The sequence below is a fragment of the Homo sapiens genome, chromosome 11, assembly GCF_000001405.40.
Source record: "Homo sapiens chromosome 11, GRCh38.p14 Primary Assembly".
In the NCBI taxonomy this organism is placed as follows: domain Eukaryota; kingdom Metazoa; phylum Chordata; class Mammalia; order Primates; family Hominidae; genus Homo; species Homo sapiens.
This window is the reverse complement of record NC_000011.10, coordinates 92,146,138-92,170,655: the sequence shown is the minus strand read 5'-3', so window position 1 is coordinate 92,170,655 and position 24,518 is coordinate 92,146,138. Positions and strand designations below refer to the sequence as shown.

Genomic DNA, 24,518 nt, shown 5'->3' with positions numbered 1-24,518 from the left:
CTAAATTTTTTTCAGAGTTTTTAACTTCTTTGCCTTTGGTTTGAATTTCCTCCTGTAGCTCGTAGTTTGATCGTCTGAAGACTTCTTCTCTCAACTTGTCAAAGTCATTCTCCGTCCAGCTCTGTTCCATTGCTGGTGAGGAACTGCGATCCTTTGGAGGAGGAGAGGTGCTCTGCTTTTTAGAGTTTCCAGTTTTTCTGCTCTGTTTTTTCCCCATCTTTGTGGTTTTATCTACTTTTGGTCTTTGATGATGGTGATGTACAGATGGGTTTTTGGTGTGGATGTCCTTTCTGTTTGTTAGTTTTCCTTCTAACAGACAGGACCCTCAGCTGCTCATCTGTTGGAGTTTGCTAGAGGTCCCCTCCAGACCCTGTTTGCCTGGGTATCAGCAGCAGTGTCTGCAGAACAGTGGTTTTCCGTGAACCACGAATGCTGCTGTCTGATCGTTCCTCCGAAAGTTTTGTCTCAGAGGAGTACCCGGCCGTGTGAGGTGTCAGTCTGCCCCTACTGGGGGGTGCCTCCCAGTTAGGCTGCTCAGGGGTCAGGGGTCAGGGACCCACTTGAGGAGGCAGTCTGCCTGTGTTCTCAGATCTCCAGCTGCGTGCTGGGAGAACCACTGCTCTCTTCAAAGCTGTCAGACAGGGACATTTAAGTCTGCAGAAGTTACTGCTGTCTTTTTGTTTGTCTGTGCCCTGCCCCCAGAGGTGGAGCCTACAGAGGCAGGCAGGCCTCCTTGAGCTGTGGTGGGCTCCACACAGTTGGAGTTTTCCGGCTGCTTTGTTTACCTAAGCAAGCCTGGGCAATGGGTGGGCGCCCCTCCCCCAGCCTCGCTGCCACCTTGCAGTTTGATCTCAGACTGCTGTGCTAGCAATCAGCGAGACTCCGTGGGCGTAGGATCCTCTGAGCCAGGTGCGGGATATAATCTCCTGGTGCGCCATTTTTTAAGCCCGCCGGAAAAGCGCAGTATTCGGGTGGGAGTGACCCGATTTTCCAGGTGCCGTCTGTCACCCCTTTCTTTGACTAGGAAAGGGAACTCCCTGACCCCTTGCACTTCCCGAGTGAGTCAATGCCTCGCCCTGCTTCGGCTCGCGCAGGGTGTGCTGCACCCACTGGCCTGTGCCCACTGTCTGGCACTCCCTAGTGAGATGAACCCGGTACCTCAGATGGAAATGCAGAAATCACCCGTCTTCTGTGTCGCTGACGCTGGGAGCTGTAGACCGGAGCTGTTCCTATTCGGCCATCTTGGCTCCTCCGCCCAACACATTTTTTTCTTAAGAGCAGTTAGAAGTGATCCAGAATGTCTCCATTCCTTCATCCATTCAACAGCTATCCACCAAGCAATGTGTTAAGATTGGCAGATAACTACAAATAGTTCATGCCTTCATGGAGCACACTGTCTAGTGGACAGACAAAAATGTAAAACAAAATATTCAGAATAAGACTAGATCTAAGGAGAAGGCATTAAAGAATGCATGGGGCTGAGTGCAGTACCTCACACCTGTAATCACAGCTACTCAGGAGGCTGAAGTGGGAGGATCCTTTGAGCCCAGGAGTTCAAAGCTGCAGTGAGTCATGATTGCACTACTGCACTCCCACCGTCTTGGGAGATGAGAGAAAGCTTTAAGGAAAAGGTGACACCCAAGCTTAGTCTTGAAATCTTGAAGCCTAAGGTGAGAAGAAAATTCTGATTATAAGCCATAGAGGTTTTAAAAAATCCCCAAAACCCCAAGCAAGCAAACAAACATCATTATGTTCTATGTAAAGGAGTGAAACTATTATACTTAGGTATTTCACAGTTTAAAAAGCAAGGCATGAAATTATTGGAGATGAGATTAAAAGATAAGCAGGAGTTACTTCTTTATTACTTTGTTAAGGAGCTCAAGCCTGTAGTGTAAGTAATGTGGGTCATTAAAGGGCTTTAAACCAAAGAAACATTTAGATTTTAGATAAATCATGATGGTGGCTGATAGAAGGATGAATTTAAGAGAGAAAATACTGAATTTAAGGAGTTGCATGAGTGGCCCAGAAGGCAAATAATAAGGATTTAAAACCAGGAACATACTAGGAATAGAACAAAATATTTTCTGGAAAACATTTATAAGGTCAAGTTGAAATGACTTTATATATATAATACATATATAATTAATACATAAATATACATTAATATAAAATATATTTTTATATTATATATTTTATATATTAAGCATTATGACTATTAAAATTAATGTATTTATCATTTATTTTTATATACATATACATAATTATAAATTTTGCTTATGCTTATATAAACTAATTTATATTTCATACATTATGTATTAAATATATAGACATATTAAAATATACTAACATATACTTATTTATAAATATATATTTTGTGTGTGTGTGTATATATATTTAAGCTGCTTTGCTGATGGTATATATTTCAGAAAGTAATTGCTCTATATTCCAAAAATCAGTGATACAATCTTGTCATTGACACTTATGCCTTACCTCCAATACTTTTGTGGAGGAGAGTGAATGGTTGGGTTTATTAACTATGAGCCTAGTGATCATTAACTCTTTCTCTAGTACACAAAATCTTAGATTTTCAGGACCACGAGTTTGTCTGTGAAATTCAAGGGCATACAATCTTTTACTTTGTGAATACAATAAAGAAATACATTACTTGAAAATTAGAATTATAACCATTCCAGAGTAACCAAATGAATCCTCTTTTAATTTACTAGACTATTCTGTACTAAGAATTGTCACAAGGAATCAATAATCTTAACAGGCGTTTTAGCTCTATAAAATACATAGGATTTAACATCCACACAATCCTATTTTAACATTATTAACCAAGGAGTATGCAAATCAGCAGCATTCTGGTCTATGCTGACACTTCGTTAACACTTCATTAAGAAGACTCTGCTCTTGGTACTTGAAATTGTGCCAGAGATAGAATATTTCTTTTCCTTGAAATCCACATATTTTTTCCCAAAGCTCCAGAGCTTCTTGTAATAACTATTAATATTCATATATATTTTCAGCTGTAATTAAAAAAAAACCTTATGGCTTCTGCTAACATGCGTAAATCTCACCGAGGGTCAGAAGTTCTCAGAATGTCTCGCTAAGGATTAACTTGAGATCTAAAGTGAACCTGGATCTACTTGAGGATGGTTGTCCTGACAAAAGACCTTTGGTGGTGGGGTTATGAAATAATCTTGGATGGGATGGGTTTGTTTCATTCATCCATGTATTTATTCATCTAATAAGCACTTAATCAAATTTAACTATTTAATAAGTACTTTAATGTGTTCCAAGGATCCTGTGAAGATAAAGGTAAATAAGTTTTAGTCCCTATACTTGAGGATTTCATTGATTAACTTGGGAACTTGTATATAAATAGATGTATTACAATTTATGTTAAATTTCAGAACAGAATTATGAACACCATCCTACAGGAGTCCTGCCCCTATGACACTGACATAGGACAATGGATTTTTGGTCTGAGCATTGAAGGATAACTAAGAATTTTCCACAGTGAAGAAATTGTGTGTGTGTGTGTGTGTGTGTGTGTGTGTGTGTCGATGGTGGTGGGGAGGGGATGGGGTTTGGTAGAACCCAACATGTTTAAAAGTCCTGAAGTGTAAGAGAGAATGGGGTATTGAGAAGATAAGTGTTATAGGAGCATAGAGCATTTGACGATAGCAATAGACCTGTCCTTGGTAATTTCAACTGAACAGTTGGGCCTCAAAGAATTTTAACTCCTACAGCCCTGTTGGAAGGCCTAGGGAAAATGTCAAGTTATAAAGTTATAACTTATTGAGCAATACATGAAGCTATAATAGACTTCTGACTGTGAAGGATCTGGGAGCTGAGACTGCTGAAGCCCCACATAGACCCCAGTAGAGACCTCCTCACTTTTTACTTAGGTACAGTCATGAACTTAAGTACTGGTAGGTTATCGGTTGCTCATGACTTGTAAGCTTATATTCATCAAGAGTAAGCCCAAACTTCTTTGTTTCTCCTTCTCTATGGAACTGTAATGCCACCCTGAAAGTACAGGCAAAATAAATGTCAGCATCTACATCCCTAGCACGCTGAGAGATGTGTTTTTACAGTTTCAGTAAGGTACCTGTATGCACATTGCAGCCAACGTGTTGAGACAAAGTGTCACTTTGATAAGAAAAGATGGGAAAATGTAGGCCACATTTAAATAGTGACACTTCTGGAATACTGAGTCAGTTTCATGAGGGACTGATTGTTCTTCATCATTATTAATTAACCACTGCTGAGCCCCTACTTTGGGAATAACACTAGATGAGATGCTTTTTCCTTATAGAAGGCATTTGTGTTGGCGAAATCTTTTAGTCCTTTTAAGAACCTGGGGACAGATTGTTTCTTGAGGGCAGTGGCTGTCTCTATCTTGTGTACCACTGGGATACTTCAAAAGTGTTTATTATGTATTGAATGAATAAATGTTTCCTATGTAGTGTTATATACACATTTTTCTTAGATTTTTTTTAAGGTTCTGTTGTAGGTATTTAAACTTGGAGGATGAGAAAAAACAATGTAGGTATCAGTCTGTATATTGGAAATTTTCCTATAAATTTATTATTATGATTTTCCTTGGAAACAAAGAAAAACACAAGTCATAATGATCATATTTAGAGTCTTGGCTTGAAATAAATAGAAAAGAAGGAGATTTTTTCATATTGATCAGCATGACCCAGTCAAAAGACTGCCTTAGCTTACTATATTTCTTTAGCTAAGTAAGAAATAGCTGTTGAGCCAATACTAGTAAGATCCTAACCCTCTGTCCCAGGTTTCAAAGGAGACAACTTTCAAGGGAAAGCATTCATGTCTGAGGCAATGGCCTTGGGGTACAGGGACCAGCTAAGCTAGGAGGTGATGACTGAGCCCTTTATGAAGTCTGAGCCCTTGTCATAGCCTGGGACTGTTATCTGCAGTTGTCACTACATTCACTAAAATGATCTCTTGAGACCTAACATTACATATCTATTCTACCTAGGATAGGAAAAGCCAGACACCAAAGCTGAACCACAGTTCAGAAAGAGTCATCACATCTACATCTGCTTTAAGCCATATTCATTCTGAGGGCCCACATGCCTAAGGAAGAGTCTTTCAGGGCTACCATATGGCAAACTTGCAGGCAGGGCCACTCCCGTTGCTGATCATTGGAGAGTTCCAGGAGTTGGGCCATGAACAATGTAGCCATGGGATAGCCCTGATTTTCAATGCTGGCAATAGGACTAGGGTTGTGGGGCCATGGAGGTGGTGCAACTCCCCTCTTTGTAAACAACTTCAAATAATAAGACTCCTCTTTTTAAAAGAAATATGTTTGATGTGTTGCTTACATTGTTTGAAACATTCTGATAAATTAGAGACAACAGATTGTCTGTTAATAACTCAATCTGGTACATCGAGCTTTCTGTGATTCTTCTAGAAATAATCACTCCTAGGGCAAGAAGAAATGCTTATCTCCCATCAGGTAAATGCCAATCAGAGGAAGGGCTCACTGAGTTTTTCATCTTAGTTTTAATTATCAGTTACTAAGGACTGTCTGTAAGGCATACACTGTGTTAAATGCTTCCATGCATTACCTCTTGCTGGAGTAAAGTGTTTGTCATTACTGGCTATGCAAGAGATATTCAAAACAAAGCTTGCTTCCTTTATTTTCTTATCTCTTTCTTTCAAAGTTCTGTGCTTAAAGAAAATATGAGCTGACATTTATAAAGAGGAAAAATAACCCAGTAGTTCTGCTTGTAGCACTGTGGGCTTCATTAGGAATAAACAACTGATAAATATCCTAGTTTGAAATTGTACCTCATGCATTACTGACTGGCCAGGGAAGCAACTGTATGGTGACTGTATTGTGGTAGTTTATTGGCAAGAAAGTGGGTTTCATGACTAGAATGCTCTCTTGTTCTTAGTAAAACAAGGTTTCTGTCACACATGAACTAACTTAGATATCATAACTATTACAACAAGAACTAGCACGTCTAAGAAAGCTTCTGGCAATTGCTTGGAAGAATTAGTTAAGACTGGGTACAAGGTTAATATATGCTTTCTTGGATGAAACTGCAAAGAAAATGAAGTTGTAGACTCATGGAGCTCCCTTTGAGCTATTTTTGTTTAAATTATTCTCTCCATTGTTGGTGGATTTTGTGTGTGTGTTTTCATCTCATAGTGTTTTAGAATGTTGATGTGTAATAAAAAATTATGAATTCTGATTTCTGTTAAGTGAAAACATTTTATAAGGCTCAGATTACTTATTTACTTGAGGTCTTTGTTTCACTTTTAGTAAAAGTCAGAATATAACTAATTCATCTCATGGAGGGGTTGAGGAGCAGCTTGTAGATACAGTGATGGTAAGGAGTCCTGTGAATATTTCAATGGCACAGAAATGCCTATTATCAATAATCATAGTAATAAGCAGTGAGGAATTCAGTTGAAGTCTAAGGCAAGACATTGTCACATTGTTTTCTTATGATTAAAAAAACTTTGGCTTTCTTTTGCATGTGACACTTTCAATTGTGTTGGAGAGAATAAGAGCTCTAAATGTGGTACTTGGTTGTCTAAGGAATTCTTGATGGAGACAGATTTCATGTGAAATCTAAATTGTGTCACTCACTGTCTGAGCTTTAGCATTAAGATCTTTAGAAGATAATTTGTTTATTCTTAATGTAACCCCAGGCTGAATTCTCTTAGATTATCGTAGAAGAAATGTTACCTGAAAGTAGAAAATATTCTTGAGATTGCTTCAGACTTGAGCATAATTTTTCTTGTCAATCTTGAAGGTTATTACTATTTGCATATATATCACTTTTCTTTCAAGTCCCCAGAAACTAAAAGGTGGCCTGATTAGAAGTAGGAGAAGAAGAGATTATTTTTATACTGAAAACACACTAAAAATGGTCAACAGTATTTTTCAAGACTGAGTACACTGATAATGTCTATGTGCCTACTTGGTATATCCCTGAGTTTCTGCAAAGAAATTTCTTAAGCTTTTAGCTATATGAACAGAATACCAAAAAAAAAATGCTCTTGCTTAAATCTTTTTACCATGTTTTTTCAAAATTTCAACTTATTTTGAGGAATAGGTACTTTTAAAGTATATATGAAATTACTGCAATGAGCAAATTAAAAATATTTTAGTTACATAATATGTTTTCTGTGTGTTTTTCATGTGGAAATTAAAAGGGCAAGATTCATAGTAAATTCACTTGATTGAGCAATGTTCCTTCACTCATGAAAAGCAGCCTTGGTGCAGAAGAGTATATACTTTGGATAATTAGAAAGAAAGAGGCAAGACAGTGGAGCCTGGTGAGCTACAGGGAGGGCTTGTGACTCTGAAGCCCAACCTTTACCTTCTAAACGCAGGGAAAAATGTAGGTTTGCATTCTGTAATTACAGTGTGGGATTTACAAATGCTCTTAGGAGTGCTAGAGTGTAAGACGTTTCCTGATGAAGATCAGAAATCAAGCTACCCTGGAGGAATTTTGTTTTTGTTTTTAAGCAGATGTTCACAGGGCTGCAATCTTTATTAAACAACAGCACCAGGGAAATGTTACAGACAAGAATGCTTCCTGTCCATCACAGTTTAGATTGGTTTGGCAAAGGATTAGTAATGATTTGGAAAATTCCAGAACTAGTTTGATATCAGAATTTTAAGAACACTTTATGCTGAGGCCAGAAAGGCGACTTTGAACCTCCGAGGGCAGTCAATTACCCACCCCCACCCCTACCCACTTATGTTTTGTTTAAGACACTGTCCTAAGCCTTTGGAGAAATGCATAAACAATTTATAAGAGAGTCTATGCTCCAAAAGATCTTGCAATTTAGTTGGGGAAAGAATACAGAGATGCATGAAAAATAAATGGAAAAAGGCAATGTAGGTAAAGTGCCCAATGTAAGGTAGGAAGAGTAAAGGTTAAAGAAAAAAAATTGTATATGACTTAGGATTCTTTAACTCAAATCAACAGAAAAATGCTCTTGAAAACTTGAGAAAAAGCTAATTTATTCAAAGACTTTTAGGAACTGCCAGGAATTCTTAAGAGTCTTGCTTGGAGACCTGGGGACAACAAACTTGGAGGACCTAGGAAGCAGGTTTGCAGGAGCCATCTGGAAGATGGAGGTGCTATCAGTCCTGGGATTTGAAGAAATATTAAGCTTTAGATCACTCAAAGTTGTGGAAATTAGGTGATTTTTAGAAACTCCACCATAGATGTAGAGACGATGTTTATAGCGTGCTTGGGGACAATGCATAAATTATTTTGCTTGGAATGAAGGCTATATGCATGAGTAAAGAGACCAAGTTGGAAAAAATAAGTGGAATTCATTTATGAAAGGCCTTGCTGACATTGTGACTCTGTCTTGCTGGCAGTGAGAACTAGTTGGGATGTTTAGCAAGAGTGTAACATGGTAAAAGTGACATTATAACCCTGTTCCCTACAATGATAAGAGTTCAGAGAAAATGGCCACTCCTTTATTTCAAAGTATTTTGAATTCGGTGTGTAGGTGGCCTTTTCCTGAACTACTTAACCTTCCTTGCAGTAGTCTTCATCATTATTTCCCTAGGGCAATGTTTCTCAAAAGGGCTTGCAGAGGCTACCTATGTATCAGAAGTGACTGGGGACACTTGCTAACATGTACCTTCCCAGGGCCCTACTGAATCAGAATCCCCCCAGCTTTTTTTTTGGAAAAAAAATTGTATAATTTTAGTTATTTTTATGTACAGAAAACTCAACAGTGTACATTTAACCCAGTTTAGTAGCAAGTTCTTTAGCCTTTGCCTTTTTCAACCTGGCAATGCTAGCCACAGATTTGGGACCCAGGACATTGCCTCCCCAGTGAGGATGGTTCTTAACATATCTGTCATTGTAATTGGTCCTGATGGCTTCTACCAGCGTAGCCAAAGCTCCTTTGTCTTCTTCCGAAGGCAACAGTGGTGCAGGTCTTCCTGTGGGCTAGTAGACATCCCACTCTTGCCTTCCCCTTGGTAATGCAGTAAGGGACCCTCATCTCACAACACAGGACAGTCAGGAAGACAATCAGCTTGATGGAATCCACTTCGTGTGCAGTCACCACCAGCTGAGACTTCTTGTTGTCCAATAAGGTGGTGACAGTTTTAACCCCTGCTCAAAGGACAGGTGGTTTCTTAGTGGGGACAGCCCCTTCGCTGGCAGCTTTCTTCTCGGTCCAGGCCAACAGGCTCTGTTTCTTTTACTTTGTCTCTGGTCTGTACTCATGGGCCAGCTTAAGCAGTCAGTAGCTGTTTGGCAGTTCAGGGCCTGGGTGAACAGGTTAATCGCAGGAGGCACTTTCAGCTGCTTATAGAGGCTAGCTCTTTGCCAGCTGCAATGTGATATAGTGAGGCCATTTGACAAAGCAGGTGAGGCCCCTTTTGTGCTGGATGTCTTGTCCATTGCCAAAATTCTTCACCTTTTCTCAAACAGGGATTCACCCCTTTCTTTGCCTCATGCTTCTTCACAACAGCAGGGGCTAGGCCACCTTCTTTCCCTTGCCCCTCTTTCCTTTCAGCATCTTGGGTGGTGGGAGGAGAGAGCAAGTCAGAATCTTTTGGAGTGGGGAGCAGGAATCTGCATTTTCAACAAGTCCCCTAATGATTCTTTTATGCACTGGTGTTCAAAACCCACCACCTTAAAGGATGCTTAAATGGACCAGACAGGTACGAAGCAAGGGTAAGATCCCTTTTCTCTACTTCCCTTCCTCTTCTCCTCCTTTCATTCTCCATATTTTGCTCTTCTTCCTCTGCCTTCTCTCTCTCACCTAATAAACACTCTACTCACTGGGGACCCATTGTGTGAAAAATACTGCTAAATTCTTTATGGACCCTGGAGACTTAAAGACATACCTGAGGAGATTTAAATATATGTGTGTTCAAAATATGCATTGGCAGAAAACCAGTGCTGTTTTAGGGGAAGACTTTTATGGACTAGATGTTTAGCATTTGCTTTAAGTGAAGCTCACTTTGATTTGCAACCTTGATGGTCTCTGAATTAGAAAGATCTGGGGATTTGAAGCTGGTGGTTAAAGCACAGCTTCTGGTGAAAAAACTAATGGCAAGGAGCAGAGTAACAGAGGCTCCTTCAGATCAACTCAGAATGTCAGTATGAGGGTGTAGGGCCACTGATGAGTGGTTAGTAATGCTTGGATTGACTCTCTCCCCTGTTGTCCACTGCTCTTGTTTAAAATGTCATAAAGGAAACAATATTTATTTACCCATACACTATGCACTGGCATTGCACTGAAACTGTCTTTGCAAAATTATGACAGTAAGAGATCTGACAAGGCTAACTCTACCTTGCTTATGGCCTCATATGTTGGCTATCTTTGCTCTTTCCTAGGTGTGGGCCAAGCTAACTTTGGGAGAATTTAATTTATAGTTTAAATAATAACAGCATTTCCCCCACACTGAACTTAAAACTAATGAAACACCACCAAGTTAGGAGGATGAAAGGGGTTTGAATTCTAAGTAATTACCAGCCATTATTCCGGAAGTCATAAAATTTGCAACTTCCCCAATTACTCCTGCAGATAACATTACTACTGTAGAATGGAAGATTGGCCTTTGGAGATGTCTTTTCAGGTTTTTGCATTTCTGACAACTGTACAGCCCCACCCAGACCTGCCAACCTTTCCTGTGGCCTGCACCCAGGAACCAACTCATCACAAGAGGACAGTTTGGATTCTCTGTGATTTCATCTTTGACCCAGCCAATCAGCATGGCCCTTACCCTAGCCCCTGACTACCAAACTATTTTTGAAAAACTGCTAACCTCGGAGCCTTTGGGGAGATTGATTAGAGTAATAACTCTGTGTCTCCCATGGCATGGCCTTGTGTCAATTCTACTCTTTTTTTTTTTTTTCTTTTTCCTGAGACAGAGTCTTGCTCGATTGCCCAGGCTGGAGTGCAGTGGCATGATCTCAGCTCACTACAACCTCTGTCTCCTGGGTTCAAGTGATTGTCATGCTTCAACCTCTTGAGTAGCTGGGATTACAGGTGTGTGACACCATGCATGGCTACATTTTGTATTTTTAGTAGAGATAGGGCTTTGTCATGATGGCCAGGCTGGTCTCAAACTCCTGGCCTCAAGTGACCCTCCCATCTTGGCCTCCCAAAGTGCTAGGATTACAGGTGTGAGCCACAGGGCTCAGCCTAATTCAACTCTTTCTTTTTTTTTTTTTTTATTATTTTTTTAACCTTTTATTTTGATATAATTTCAAACTTAGAGAAAATCTGCAGAAAAAAGTACAAAGAACTCCTACATACATTTTACCCAGATTCACCATTGTTAATGTTTTAGCATGTTACCTTTATCATTCTCCCTTTCTCTCTCTCTGAACCAGTTGACAGTAATCTGTAAATATCACGTTCCTTTTCTCTCAAATACATGAACGTAAGTACATGCTTGAACATAACCATGAGATGATTACAAAAATCAAGAAACAAATTCAAATTTTGTCAGTTGTCCCAATAATGCCTTTTATGGCAAAATTTTCCTTAACTGATGACTCAATCCATAATCACACAATGCATTTAGTGGTTCTGTCCCTTTGGTCTTTTTCATCTGGAATCGTTGCTGAGCCTTTCTTTATCTTTTATGACACTGACATTTTTGAAAAGTACAGGCTTGTTTTTTTTTTTTTTTTTTTTTTTTTTTTTAACTAGGAATTCCCAGAGGGATTTTATTCTTTTTTTTTTTTTGGCCTTTTTTTTTTTTTTTTTATTGATCATTCTTGGGTGTTTCTCGCAGAGGGGGATTTGGCAGGGTCATAGGACAATAATGGAGGGAGGGTCAGCAGATAAGTGAACAAAGGTCTCTGGTTTTCCTAGGCAGAGGACCCTGCGGCCTTCCGCAGTGTTTGTGTCCCTGGGTACATGAGATTAGGGAGTGGTGATGACTCTTAAGGAGCATGCTACCTTCAAGCATCTGTTTAACAAAGCACATCTTGCACCGCCCTTAATCCATTTAACCCTGAGTGGACACAGCACATGTTTCAGAGAGCACAGGGTTGGGGGTAAGGTCACAGATCCACAGGATCCCACGGCAGAAGAATTTTTCTTAGTACAGAACAAAATGAAAAGACTCCCATGTCTACTTCTTTCTACACAGACAGGCAACCATCCGATTTCTGAATCTTTTCCCCACCTTTCCCCCCTTTCTATTCCACAAAACCGCCATTGTCATCATGGCCCGTTCTCAATGAGCTGTTGGGTAAACCTCCCAGACGGGGTGGTGGCTGGGCAGAGGGGCTCCTCACTTCCCAGTAGGGGCGGCCGGGCAGAGGTGCCCCTCACCTCCCAGACGGGGCGGCTGGCCGGGCGGGGGGCTGACCCCCCCACCTCCCTCCTGGATGGGGCGGCTGGCCGGGCGGGGGACTGACGCCCCACCTCGCTCCCGGACGGGGCGGCTGGCCGGGCAGAGGGGCTCCTCACTTCCCAGTAGGGGCGGCTGGGCAGAGTCGCCCCTTACCTCCCAGATGGGGCGGCTGGCCGGGCGGGGGGCTGACCCCCCCACCTCCCTCCCGGACGGGGCGGCTGGCTGGGCAGAGGGGCTCCTCACTTCCCAGTAGGGGCGGCCGGGCAGAGGCGCCCCTCAACTCCCTGACGGGGCGGCTGGCCGGGCGGCTGGCCGGGCAGGGGGCTGACCCCCCCACCTCCTTCCCGGACGGGGCGGCTGGCCGGGCGGGGGGCTGACCCCCCCACCTCCCTCCCGGACGGGATGGCTGGCCGGGTAGAGGGGCTCCTCACTTCCCAGTAGGGGCGGCCGGGCAGAGGCGCCCCTCACCTCCCGTATGGGGCGGCTGGCCGGGCAGAGGGGCTCCTCACTTCCCAGTAGGGGCGGCTGGGCAGAGGCGCCCCTCACCTCCCGGACGGGGCGGCTGGCCGGGCGGGGGGCTGACCCCCCCACCTCCCTCCCGGACGGGGCGGCTGCCGGGCGGAGACGCTCCTCACTTCCCAGACGGGGTGGTTGACGGGCGGAGGGGCTCCTCACTTCTCAGACGGGGCGGCCGGGCAGAGACGCTCCTCACCTCCCAGACGGGGTTGCCGGGCCGGGCAGAGGTGCTCCTCACATCCCAGACGGGGCGGCGGGGCAGAGACGCTCCCCACATCTCAGACGATGGGCGGCGGGGCAGAGACGCTCCTCACTTCCCAGATGGGATGGTGGCCGGGAAGAGGCGCTCCTCACTTCCTAGATGGGATGGCGGCAGGGCAGAGACGCTCCTCACTTTCCAGACTGGGCAGCCAGGCAGAGGGGCTCCTCAACTCCCAGATGATGGGCGGCCAGGCAGAGATGCTCCTCACTTCCCAGACGGGGTGGCGGTCGGGCAGAGGCTGCAATCTCAGCACTTTGGGAGGCCAAGGCAGGCGGCTGGGAGGTGGAGGTTGTGGCAAGCCGAGATCACGCCACTGCACTCCAGCCTGGGCACCATTGAGCACTGAGTGAACCAGACTCCGTCTGCAATCCCGGCACCTCGGGAGGCCGAGGCTGGCGGATCACTCGCGGTTAGGAGCTGGAGACCAGCCCGGCCAACACAGCGAAACCCCGTCTCCACCAAAAAAATACGAAAACCAGTGCGCCTGCAATCGCAGGCACTCGGCAGGCTGAGGCAGGAGAATCAGGCAGGGAGGTTGCAGTGAGCCGAGATGGCAGCAGTACAGTCCAGCTTCGGCTCGGCATCAGAAGGAGACTGTGGAAAGAGAGAGAGAGGGAGACCGTGGGGAGAGGGAGAGGGAGCCGTGGAAAGAGAGGGAGAGGGAGACCGTGGGGAGAGGGAGAGGGAGGGCGAGGGGGTCAACTCTTTCTTTACTGCAATGACATGATCTTGGTAAGATAATTTTTATATGTGCAGTGGGCAGGAAGAACCTGTCAGGCAGTTAGTGTACCAAGTGCTTGTAGACAGCATCTCATTTAGTATTCATAGAAATCTAGTTATTAGAACAATACCTAGCACATAATAGGCTTTGAATGAAAATAATTGTTGATTTATTATTTACTCACTTATTCACAAATTCATTCAATAAATGCTAAGCAATGTTCTAGGCACTGGGGACATAGCAGCTAAAATTAAAAAGTATCCCTGCTGTTATGCAATGTATATTCTAGTGTGGCATGTTATTTTACATCAACCTTATTAAATTGGAAGGTTAACTTGCTTGAGGTTAGACAGCTAGGAATTTGTAGTCTTGCTGTAGGTAAGAGACTCTCAGATCTGTTTGGTTTCCAAACTCATATTTTCTACAACATCATTACAACTTCAGATAGATTTTCAAATAAAAAGCTATCTTCCTTCCTCTGGAAATGTTGGTCACCCTCTGGAATTAAAGTGAATTTCTTAGAGAGCCACCTTTATGGAATAAGACGAAGAGGGCTGAGAAGCCCCCAAGCTATCCGTTGTCCTAGCCTCTGGCTCTGTCAAAGTACTGGAAACTGACTCTAGAACTGTTCATTTACGTGCTGTGTGGAAATGTCCTGTCATGTGTGTAACTATAATCCTCTCTCTGATATTTCTGCCCATCCCTTTCGGGAAGGGCAGTGTGCTCCTGCCAATGACACAGCTGGTCAACAGTCCTGCACAATGGGGAGGTAGCTGAAGCATGTCCTCGGAGCATCTCACCTGTGTACTGCTTTCTGCTTCCTTCCTGTCCTACTGCTCCTTTTCTCTGAAGGCCCAGCATGCTAACATTATAAGGTCAGCCAGCCACAGCTGACAATGATCTTAAAAAATTACTGTGTAAAAACTGCAATGCCTTCCTCTTCTGGGAAGAAGTGTTTATATTTTAGAAGAGGGCTACTTAACCCAAGGAATGACACCCCATCAAAGATTGCCTAGAAAGAGTACTGTGAGGCTCACTCAGATGCCCTTCGTCTTTGCAGATTGCTCTCTCCTCCTAAGTGCAATTAGTGACTTTTTCCTTTGAGTTCATAAAATTTGCTAATCCTTTTTTTATAAGGCTGATCACAGACTAATCTGTTTGATAATTAGTTGTGATTGTGGCCTTGTTGTAAGACAGGACCGGACCTGCATCCTGAAAACATTTGTATGCTTGCAGTACCTAGAAGAGTCTTTGCCTTCTTCAGGAGCTTCCTAATGGCTTTGTGCATTGAATAGAATTGAAGGAGTTTTCTGGGAGAAGGTAGATTAAAGGGGTACAGTGTGAGCTTTTTCTTTGAGTACATTCGGAAAAATAAATGGAGGTAGGGAAATGGCTTGGGCATTCCAGGTCATTCTCTAAAGAGATCAACTAAATACCATTTGTTTGGTACCAACCATATACTCAGACACTACAAATTTGGATATTGCCACTTGTTAACTGTGTGACAAACTTGGACAAATTACCTTCTCTTCAAGTGACTCAGTTTCTACATCTGTAAAATAATATGATTATTGTGAGGACATAATGAGGTAATACATATAAAGCACTAGGCACATTCTCTGACACATCGTAATTCCTCACTAAATGTTCTTTATAGTTTTTTTTTAAATTACTCTCACAGCAGTTTGAGATCCATAGATATTACCATTTTAGAGATAAAATAATAACAAAAACTATCATTTCTTGAGTGCAATCTCGTATTCAATTTTTTAGCAAGCTTGTAGGAGGTACCATTATCACCTCCACATTTACAAGGAGGAAGTGGGCTGTGTTCAGGGTCACCCAGCTGGATAAATAATGGAATTGGAATTCAAGCTTAGCTCTGATGAACTTGCGAGACTTCATTCTTTTGACAGTGACAAGCTGCTTGTAAGGAATGATTGCCACTTCAAAATTGTGTTCAGCCTTCTTAAAATACTTCTGTTCTTCAAACAAAATACCTCACATCAGTTCTAAATCTGTAATACTTGGGGAATTAGGGCCTCACCCTGTGTAATGCTGCAGTATGCTCTCTGTGCTACTGAAACCTCTGGCACAAGCGTTTCCTCACCTAAGGCATCTGCCTTTCACTGGTGGGTGGCTGATCTTTAGATCATCTATGCGGTGCGTTGGGAGCCTTCTGGATAAAGGATGCTTGAATATATAAGTCAGGGTTTCTGCTCAACACATATTCATTGCAACTACTGAATATATTAACTCATTATACCTCTCCCAAATAATTATACAGTATGTGCAGCAAGCATTTTAAAATGTGTACATTTCAAACACGGAGCTGGCATTTTACAAGATTTCAGTTATTAGCATGTGAATTCTAACTATTTCCCTACCAAAGGTAACTGATGGTAAAATAAAAATTGTTGACTGTAACTTTTATAGGGAATTTGAATGAGAATGGATATGGCCAAAGAAAAACCTTCTCATTGGAAATTGGACCCTTGCCAGCTTTTGACTTCTAAGAGAGATCTGAAATCTGGGGAAAAAATAGCCAAGTTAAAAATACGATTTTTTTTTTAACTTTTGCTTTGTTTCTTGAAAAGTATAATGGCATTCCCATGTAGTCTTTAGTTATGTTGGATCATATCAACACTGACTTAGATACATCTTCTTAGATATTCAACATATTTTGCTAACTAACCTGAAGAGGTCATTTACACTTTAGTGTGAATAAAACCCAGACCTTTTAGGGATGTCCAATTTTTTTTTTTTTTTCCTTTCCAGAGCTCTACCAGTTCTTGAAAAAAATTTCACAAGTCTGTTGCAAAATGAGTAAAATGAAGTGCAATGTGGTATATTTTTCACGAAGCTGAATTAATTCAATTGTAAGTGCTAATCTTCTGTTTTGAGATTTGATATTTGCAAAGTTTTCTGGGTTGAAGTGTTCATTTTATTATGAAATGGTGGTGGTAGAAGACTGAAGCTTTTACTTTTTTATATTCCTGGCAAAATCCAAAGTTGTTAGCTCTACTTCTGTTTGCCAATTTTTTGTTTGCTTTTAATTGATTGGCCTGTGGCATATGTGTCTGGGAACCACTGGTGTGATAGAAAGAGCCCACGCTCTGGAATCAAAAGCCCTGGGGTTTTCATCCTTGCTGGGTCTGTTATAAGCCAGATGAGCTGAGTCCTTATTGATCCTCATAGAATCTCCGTTTCTCCATTTGTAATGTGAAGGCAATAGAGCTGTTGAGAGAATTAAATGAGATCACATATACAAAATGTCTAGCTCATAGTTATGCTTAATTGACAATAGTTTGTCCTCTTTATTTTTTCATTCAAGAAGCAGATTTTGCAAAAAGAAGATGGAGGATATGATTATTGGTTAAGATTTGGGAGAGGAGGGAGTAAGATAAACAAGTCATACAATAGGAAATAAAGGTTTCAAAGGCAGATTATGTGTGACGAAAACCTTTCTTTCTGTACTTAATAATGTCTTCTGATATTGTGGAAGGCTTCAGAGGTTAGGATATGTCTTGTTGTTTTTGGTCTTCAGTATCTGGCACAGAGCAAGCTCAGAGAAGTGCTACTACAAGTGGTGTGACTCAGGAAGCAGATTCTGATTTGGATAGTTGCCTGCAGAAACTTTATTGGGGTATGTTTTCCAGTAATGTCTATGGGGAAGGTGAAAGAAGAAGGACCAGACAGATGTCTGTACCAGCTTATATGAAATTTTGGAGCTGGGATATCCCTGCAGAATTGTCCCGAACCAGGGTAGAGTGTTCAGGCCTTGATATCACACTCAGTGACCAGTTTTAGGATGTGGGTTAACACAGGGAAAAGGAATGACTTGGGAGAGGTGGCTCTCTTCAGCTGAGGGCAAGCTTGGGAGGAGATTTATCTGTGAGCTCTTAGTTGCCATTGTGGGCTACATTGTGTTCCCTAAAAAGATATTGAAATCCTAACCCCTGAAACTTGTGAATGTGACTTTACTTGGAAATAAGGCTTTTGCAGGTGATCAAATAAAGATGTCATTAGGATGTCCCCTAATCCAATAAAAAAGGGGAGAATGGACACAGAGACATACATCTGTAGAGGGAGGATGATGTGAAGACAAGGGAGAATGCCACCTACAAGCCAAGGAGAAAAGCATGTGACAGATTTTCGGCCCTCCCATCCCTCAGAAGGAGCCAACCCTGCTGACACCCTGATTTTGAACTTCTATCCTCCAGAGCTGTGAGACAACACATTTTTGTTATTTAAGTCACTCAATATGTGGTATTTCGTTAGGGTAGTCCTGGGAAACTAATGCAGTTGCCAACACATTGAGCAGCCTGCCATCGGTGCTGCAGTCCTGAAGTGAGGCCATCTGGTGGCACACCACAGTAGTTATTACGGGAGCTCCATGGTGCTTGAGCGATAAAGTCTTCAGGTCCCAGCTTGGACCAATGCCGGGTCGTATTTTTCTACTACCTAGGAAATTGACGCATTCTTTCACCTACTGATGTCCACACACCTCCTTGCAATGAAACACTCAGCCACATATGGTTGTCTTGAGCCTGTCTTTAGAAACTGACCAAGGGAGAAGATCTGCACATGCTCAGGAAACATACTTACTCTGAAGTGCCCTAGAAAAGAGGAATATTTATAGAGAAGGGTTTCAAGTCAGGCTAGGACTGTTTTGGGGCTTACTACCACTGTTCTATTGAACAGCTTGTTCAAGGAAATGAGATTTTGAACAAATCAGTAGTCCTGGCTATGAAGAAGGAAGGAGGTACCAAAAATAAAGAATAAAAAATCTTTAAGTCGGGTGCAATGGCATGTGCCTATAGCTCCAGCTACTCAGGAGGCTGAGAAAGTAGGATTACTTGAACTCAGGAGTTTGAGACCAGCCTAGGCAACATGGCAAGACCCTGTCTCTAAAGAAGAAAGAAAGAGAGAGAGAAAGAAAGAAAGAAAAGAAAAAAGAAATAAAAGAAAAGAAAGAAATTGTGTCACAATCTTGTTCAGAGTAAATTTGTTTTTCTTTCTTTTTTTTTTTTTATTTGAAACAGGGTCACACTCTGTCGCCCAGGCTGGAGTGCAGCAGCACAACCTTGGCTCACTGCAACCACCTCTGCCTCCTGGGTTCAAGCGATTCTCCTGCCTCAGCTTCGCGAATAGCTGGGACTACAGGCCTGCGCCACCATGCCCAGCTAATTTTCATATTTTTAGTAGGCACGGGGTTTTATCATGTTGGCCAGGCTGGTCTCAAACTCCTGACCTCAAAGTGATCCACCCGCCTCGGCCTCCCAAAGTGCTGGGATTACAGGCATGAGCCACCGTGCCCGGCCCAGAGTAAATTTTTAATGAGCAATTCCTTCAGGATAGAAGAGAAATGGGGATAAATTCAAATCATTTCAGGTCGATGTTTGCTAGGACTACATGCATCTTCTGTATTATCTTTGGATTTTGCATAGCTTTACAAAAGCAGGTGATGTGTCTCTGTGACTTATTTCTGTCGTCTCAACACTAACAGGATGAACTACACTGGAGATTGAAGAAGCTTTTTTTTGTTGTCAACCACAAAACTTAGAGCCAGGGGGTATATGAAATCAGATTACATGACACTCTTGTCTTTTTCATGCAACTTGTGGGTATTAGCTACATTCTTCTTCCATTAACAGAACAGTGGGAGAGGAGGAATCTGTTATCTCACTCATGTTAACACTAAATTGTCATCAGAATTTGAATTGTAAAATTTTTATTTCTGGTCAGAGGCAGGATGAAAACCACTTGTTTTTATAAACTGCACTTCAGGTAAATACTCAGGCTTTGAGTTTGAAATAGGTAATTGTTAAATGGATATTGAAGGCATGATTAAAGACCTTCATTATTTGCACATTTTCATCTTTGGATTGTATATACACTCACACCCATTAAAGGAACCATACAACTTAGTGTAGAAAGGCCCAAATTCCATCCCTTGCTGCAAACCACATAACACAGCAGCACAGATTCAGTACAAGCACATAGTAGGTGCTCAGTAAAGATCTTCTGAAGGAAAATCTGTGCTGCAAAATAAAAACAAGTGTCCCGAAAGAAATATGTCAAGTCTCTACTAAAATTTCTCTTTCAGGAAAGTAGATCAATCTCTTAGATGGTGTTTGACTCAGATACCCCATGTTTCCTTTTACTATACTTCATTTCGCATGTCCTCTCAGAAGTCCAGAAGTGCCTGGAATTTATTTCCTAAGTGGGGAGGAGGCAGGATTGTGAGAGTCCAGATCTCACTGTTTAAGGTAAGGGAAATCTGGTAGTAACTTTCCTTAAGGCTTCAGTCTGGAGCTAGCTACTCTTAGCAGGATTTTGCCAGGGATCTCACCTTTGCTGAGCTGCTTCTTGTCCCATTCTGTTCCCCAATTCCATTGTGTATTTATTCTCATCTCAGAAAACCCTAACCTAAAAGCATTCTCTCTTGATTCCTGGTTCATCTCAAAGAACTGCCCCATTTTTCTGCTCCCTTTCACAACAGTTTTGCAGTCTTCCTGCATCTAATTCTTTTCTCCTTCCTTGCTCAAACCACTCAATACAGTTTTCCACACTAAACACTCGACTGAAACTCCTCTTCTCAAGATCACCAGCGACCTCTATCTGGCTGAATTCAATGGCTACTTCTTGTTCTCATTGTACAGGACTTCTAAGCAGTATCTAGATAATCTGACCATCCCCTTCTTAGGGAAATGCTCTCTTTTCTTGTCTTTCTTGATACCACCCTCCCACAGTTTTCTTGTTACCTCATTGGTCATTCCTTCTTCACCTTTGAGCTGGTTCCTTCTTGGTTGGCCTATTAGATGTTGGAATACATAATGGCTTAGATCTTGGTCTCTTCCTTTCTCCTTCTATGCTGTGTTTCTTGGATATGCTGGAGACTGCCCAATTTGTGCCTCTTCCCCTGATTCTTCCATTAAAACTTGACTGTATATCTACAGACTGCTTCACTTGTGTATTTAATATGCGTCTAAAACGAAAAAGCCCAAGAGAGAACTGCTGTTTCTGTATGGCAATACCACTTAACAAACACAATGAAAAATTCTTTTTTACTCAGTTTTCCAGGTCTTCGTAAATATATCACTTTCCAATATGCTGCCCAAACTGGAAAAAGGAGGCATTTCTCATTTCTCTATTCTGCCCTCCCTACCACATAGAATAGATCAGATAATCCCATCGACCATGTCGCTGCAATGTATTTCGAATCTGACTCTCTTCTCTTCATCTCCACTGCTACTACCCAGTTCTTGTCATCATCTTTAATTACCCAGATGACTGAATTCATCTACAAACTGGTCTCTCACTTCCTTTGTTGTCCACTTACTCTTCTCATCCCCTCCCTAAATCATCCTTGTAATACATAATAAGATTACACTAATTCCTTTGCTTAAAACCCTCTGTGGCTTCTTTTCACCCTGAAAATAAAATCTAAAACCCTTGCCCAATTTATAACCCTTGCTTACCTTCTGATTCTTCCCTATTCCCTTAGATTCAGTCATTCTGAACTTGTTTCTCTGCTGGCACGTGACAATCCTTAAAGTCTAGTGCTTGCAGTTCTTCCACATACCATATTCTAGACTGAGATCTTTTCAAGACTGATCCTACTATAGGTGGGAAGCATTTGCCTCAGGCAAACTCCTCCAACTGTTGTAAAACTGAATTCTGTATCCAAGGAGTTTCCACCAATAGTCTAAAGTGTTTAGGATCATTCCAGCCAAGCTAGAATAAACTTGAGCTTCTAATTTGGATCTTAAAACCCAGAGATGGGTTTGTATTGTATAGACTTCTCCAGATTCTTAGCCCTGCCATATCGACCTGTGGTTAGACTTCCATTTGTTGTCAAAAAAGTCTGTTCTTATTTATTGTGAGGTTCTGAAAAGCAGAGACTGTACCACTCATCTGGAAAACTGACACAGCATATGACACCTGTTCAGAAGATGCTCAAAAAGGGTTTACTCTATAATGTAAAGACCAGTGAAGATTGGATTCTGTGATTAGCTTTGAAATTTATGTAACTTTCAAAATTACTCTGAGCTTAACTTTCTTTATATGCACTTTATACAAATGTGGTAAAGACTGAATGAGATAGTGGATATCAAAGTTTTACCACATGGCTGGTACACAGTAGACATTAGAGAAGTCTTCATTTCTCCCTTTCTCCCTCCATATCTTCTCTTCTTAATAGTTTCTTCCTACTGTAGATTTACCTATCATTGCAACCTCAGTGCTAAGCATAGGACTTACATTTTTTTCTTTCTTCATTCCTCTTAATGTTTCCTTCCTTCTCAGCTTTCTCTATTTTAGCCTTTTTCTTTACCATCTCCTTTTCCTCTTTTCTATTCTTCTCTTCTATCCAATATTGAACTAACCTATACTTTTCTCTTCTTTCTCCTTTGCCTTTCTTAAAGTTTAACATTAACACTTACTCCCTCTAACCTACAAAAAAGAGAGGTAGTGGAGACTGTGCTCTTTAGTCAGATCCTAAGTACCAGTTCTCTGTCTGTCTCCGAGAAAAAAAAAAAAAATCTGTGCACTGGAGCTTGTCTTCTACTCCCTACTGAGACAAAAGTGCTTCCCAAGCTCATGCAACCCACATGTTAAAATATTAATAGAAAAAAAAAAACCCAGCAAGGCAAGGGTCACAGCAGTTTGGGCATGAGACCAGCAGGTCTTTTGGAGCCCTCTTCTGTGTGGAGCCAATGGGAAGACTGACATTTAGCGTGCCTCCACACAGAGATGCAGATGGCTTCTAAGCCTATTTCAGTGAACATACGAGGAAGTGGGTGGGGGAGACTGGAAAGAGCCACAATTCCTATCCATGGCATCAAAATGCCAAGAACTGAAGACAATTAAAAATGGATAACTTGAGGGAAAGCACAGAGAGAGACAGTTTGAGTTTTATTAAAATGCATTGAAAACTTTTTTTGTTTTTGGGAAAAAGAATGAAAAATTATTTTGATCTGTTTTTAAGTTAAAGAAAAGAAATATCCTTCAACATTGGCCTCTTCTAAATAGGTTTAGTAGGTAAAAATAAATGCAATCAAATTTCTGACAGTATTTTCCTTTAAAAAGATGCAAATAAATTTGTAATACAGTCAAGCTCCAAAATAACAGATTGAAATACTCAAGATTATAAATTCAAATTTTTTTCCATTGAAATGGCATTTCAATTTCCTTCCCTGGAATACCTTGGGTGGGGGGTCACTATCTTTAAATGCTTTCTGGTTTTCTATTTTTTTTTTCTTTGAGTGGTGGATTCTAGCTGAAACAGTTACAAACAGTTAAGTATATTTGATTAGAGATCACTTGGGATTCATCATCACTTGGGATACTTCATATATGGACAGTATCCATATATGAAGATGAAAAATCTACAAGCTAGAGGTAATTTATTATTTTCTCATAAGCATTTGCATTTATAAAAGTATGTTCTTGCTGGGCGTGGTGGCTCACACCTGTAATCCCAGCACTTTGGGAGGCCGGGGTGGGCGGATCACGAGGTCAGGAGATCGAGACCATCCTGGCTAACACGGTGAAACTCCATCTCTACTAAAAATACAAAAAATTAGCCGGGCGTGGTGTCGGGCGCCTGTAGTCACAGCTACTCGGGAGGCTGAGGCAGGAGAATGGCATGAACTCAGGAGGCAGAGCTTGCAGTGAGCCAGGATGGGGCCACTGCATTCCAGCCTGGGTGACAGAGCAAGACTCCGTCTCAAAAAAAAAAATATTCTTTTATTGTTGGTTCTTACTTTGCCATTACACAGCTTACTAGCTCATCTTTATACTCTAGTGTTTAAGAGCTTAAGCTCAACAGCTATATTTCCCTATATTTTATTTTGGGTCAAATCCCATCCATCACTTACTAGGTGAGTGACTTTGGTCAAATTACTTACTGCTTTCAGCCTCACTATATTCATCCATAGGATGTGGATATTAATATTTGCCCCGTAAGGTCTTTGTGAAAATGACATATGATTCAGCATATAAGGCCTTGAGGATGTCAGAAAGATGGCAGAATCAGAATTTTCAACCTTTGTATCCTGACAGAAACACTGATTTTGACAACCATCCGTGGAGAAGAGCCCAGGAGTTAAGCAGAGATGTCCTGGCATTCTATTGGAAGAAACAAATTTGTGAGTAGGCACACTGAAGAGCATAAGAACAGTTTTACCCTGCCCACATCACTCCTCCCGAAGGTAGCACAGTTCATTGCCAATACAGATCCTCTCAATTTATGAATTTATCCACGGGGGAAAGTGAGAGAGTAGTTGAGTGTCTGCTTCTCTAGCCATGCAGCTTCCTGCCCAAAGGCCCACTTCTTTCTCTCTGCACTCAGAATACTGAGGGGATCAGCATGGCTGAATAGTCTGGGGGCAGGTAGGAGCAGGGAAATGGGGTGGGGCCTCACAGCAACCAGGCATGGAATACAACAAAGGGCCATGGTTTCTACTAACTGCCTTATGACTTCACAAGAGGCCTACCCATTTATCTAGTAGGATGTATCACCTGCATCTTTCCCACCAACACACCCATGCATGCCCCACTGCTCTGTGTGCCCTCCCCTTTTACCATAGCTATTGTGAGTACGCCCCTGCAGACCATGCAGGTGTACACACAGACAACTAGCGCCAACTATGCTGGCTTGAAAA

General features: G+C 41.8%; 1 long non-coding RNA gene and 1 pseudogene across 3 annotated transcripts, besides 2 other annotated features; both read right to left on the bottom strand.

Moving 5' to 3' along the window:
* Window positions 581–1,780: an enhancer, noted in NCBI's record as "MED14-independent group 3 enhancer chr11:91902042-91903241 (GRCh37/hg19 assembly coordinates)". NCBI's record gives its function as "activates an origin of replication core promoter dependent on BRD2, BRD4, P300/CBP and CDK7 cofactors, and independent of MED14, by STARR-seq in HCT116 cells {active_cell/tissue: HCT116}" and the evidence as "EXISTENCE:reporter gene assay evidence [ECO:0000049][PMID:35650434]".
* On the bottom strand, window positions 8,709–9,575 carry RPL7AP57 (ribosomal protein L7a pseudogene 57; annotated as a pseudogene).
* Window positions 11,746–12,459: an enhancer, noted in NCBI's record as "NANOG-H3K27ac hESC enhancer chr11:91891363-91892076 (GRCh37/hg19 assembly coordinates)". NCBI's record gives its function as "activates a minimal SCP1, AML or CMV promoter by ChIP-STARR-seq in primed H9 embryonic stem cells {active_cell/tissue: H9 hESC(primed)}" and the evidence as "EXISTENCE:reporter gene assay evidence [ECO:0000049][PMID:30033119]".
* LOC105369429 (uncharacterized) lies at window positions 16,753–24,247 on the bottom strand. 3 transcript variants are annotated; one of them, XR_947892.1, is made up of 3 exons: window positions 23,763–24,247; window positions 20,616–20,839; window positions 16,753–17,085 (listed from the first exon to the last, which is right to left on the bottom strand). It is a non-coding gene; the product is annotated as an uncharacterized LOC105369429 (long non-coding RNA). The 3 variants fall into 3 exon arrangements; XR_947893.1 differs by having other exon boundaries at window positions 24,041–24,247; XR_947894.2 differs by lacking the exon at window positions 23,763–24,247 and adding an exon at window positions 21,333–21,408.
* Window positions 24,248–24,518: the final 271 nt, after the last annotated feature.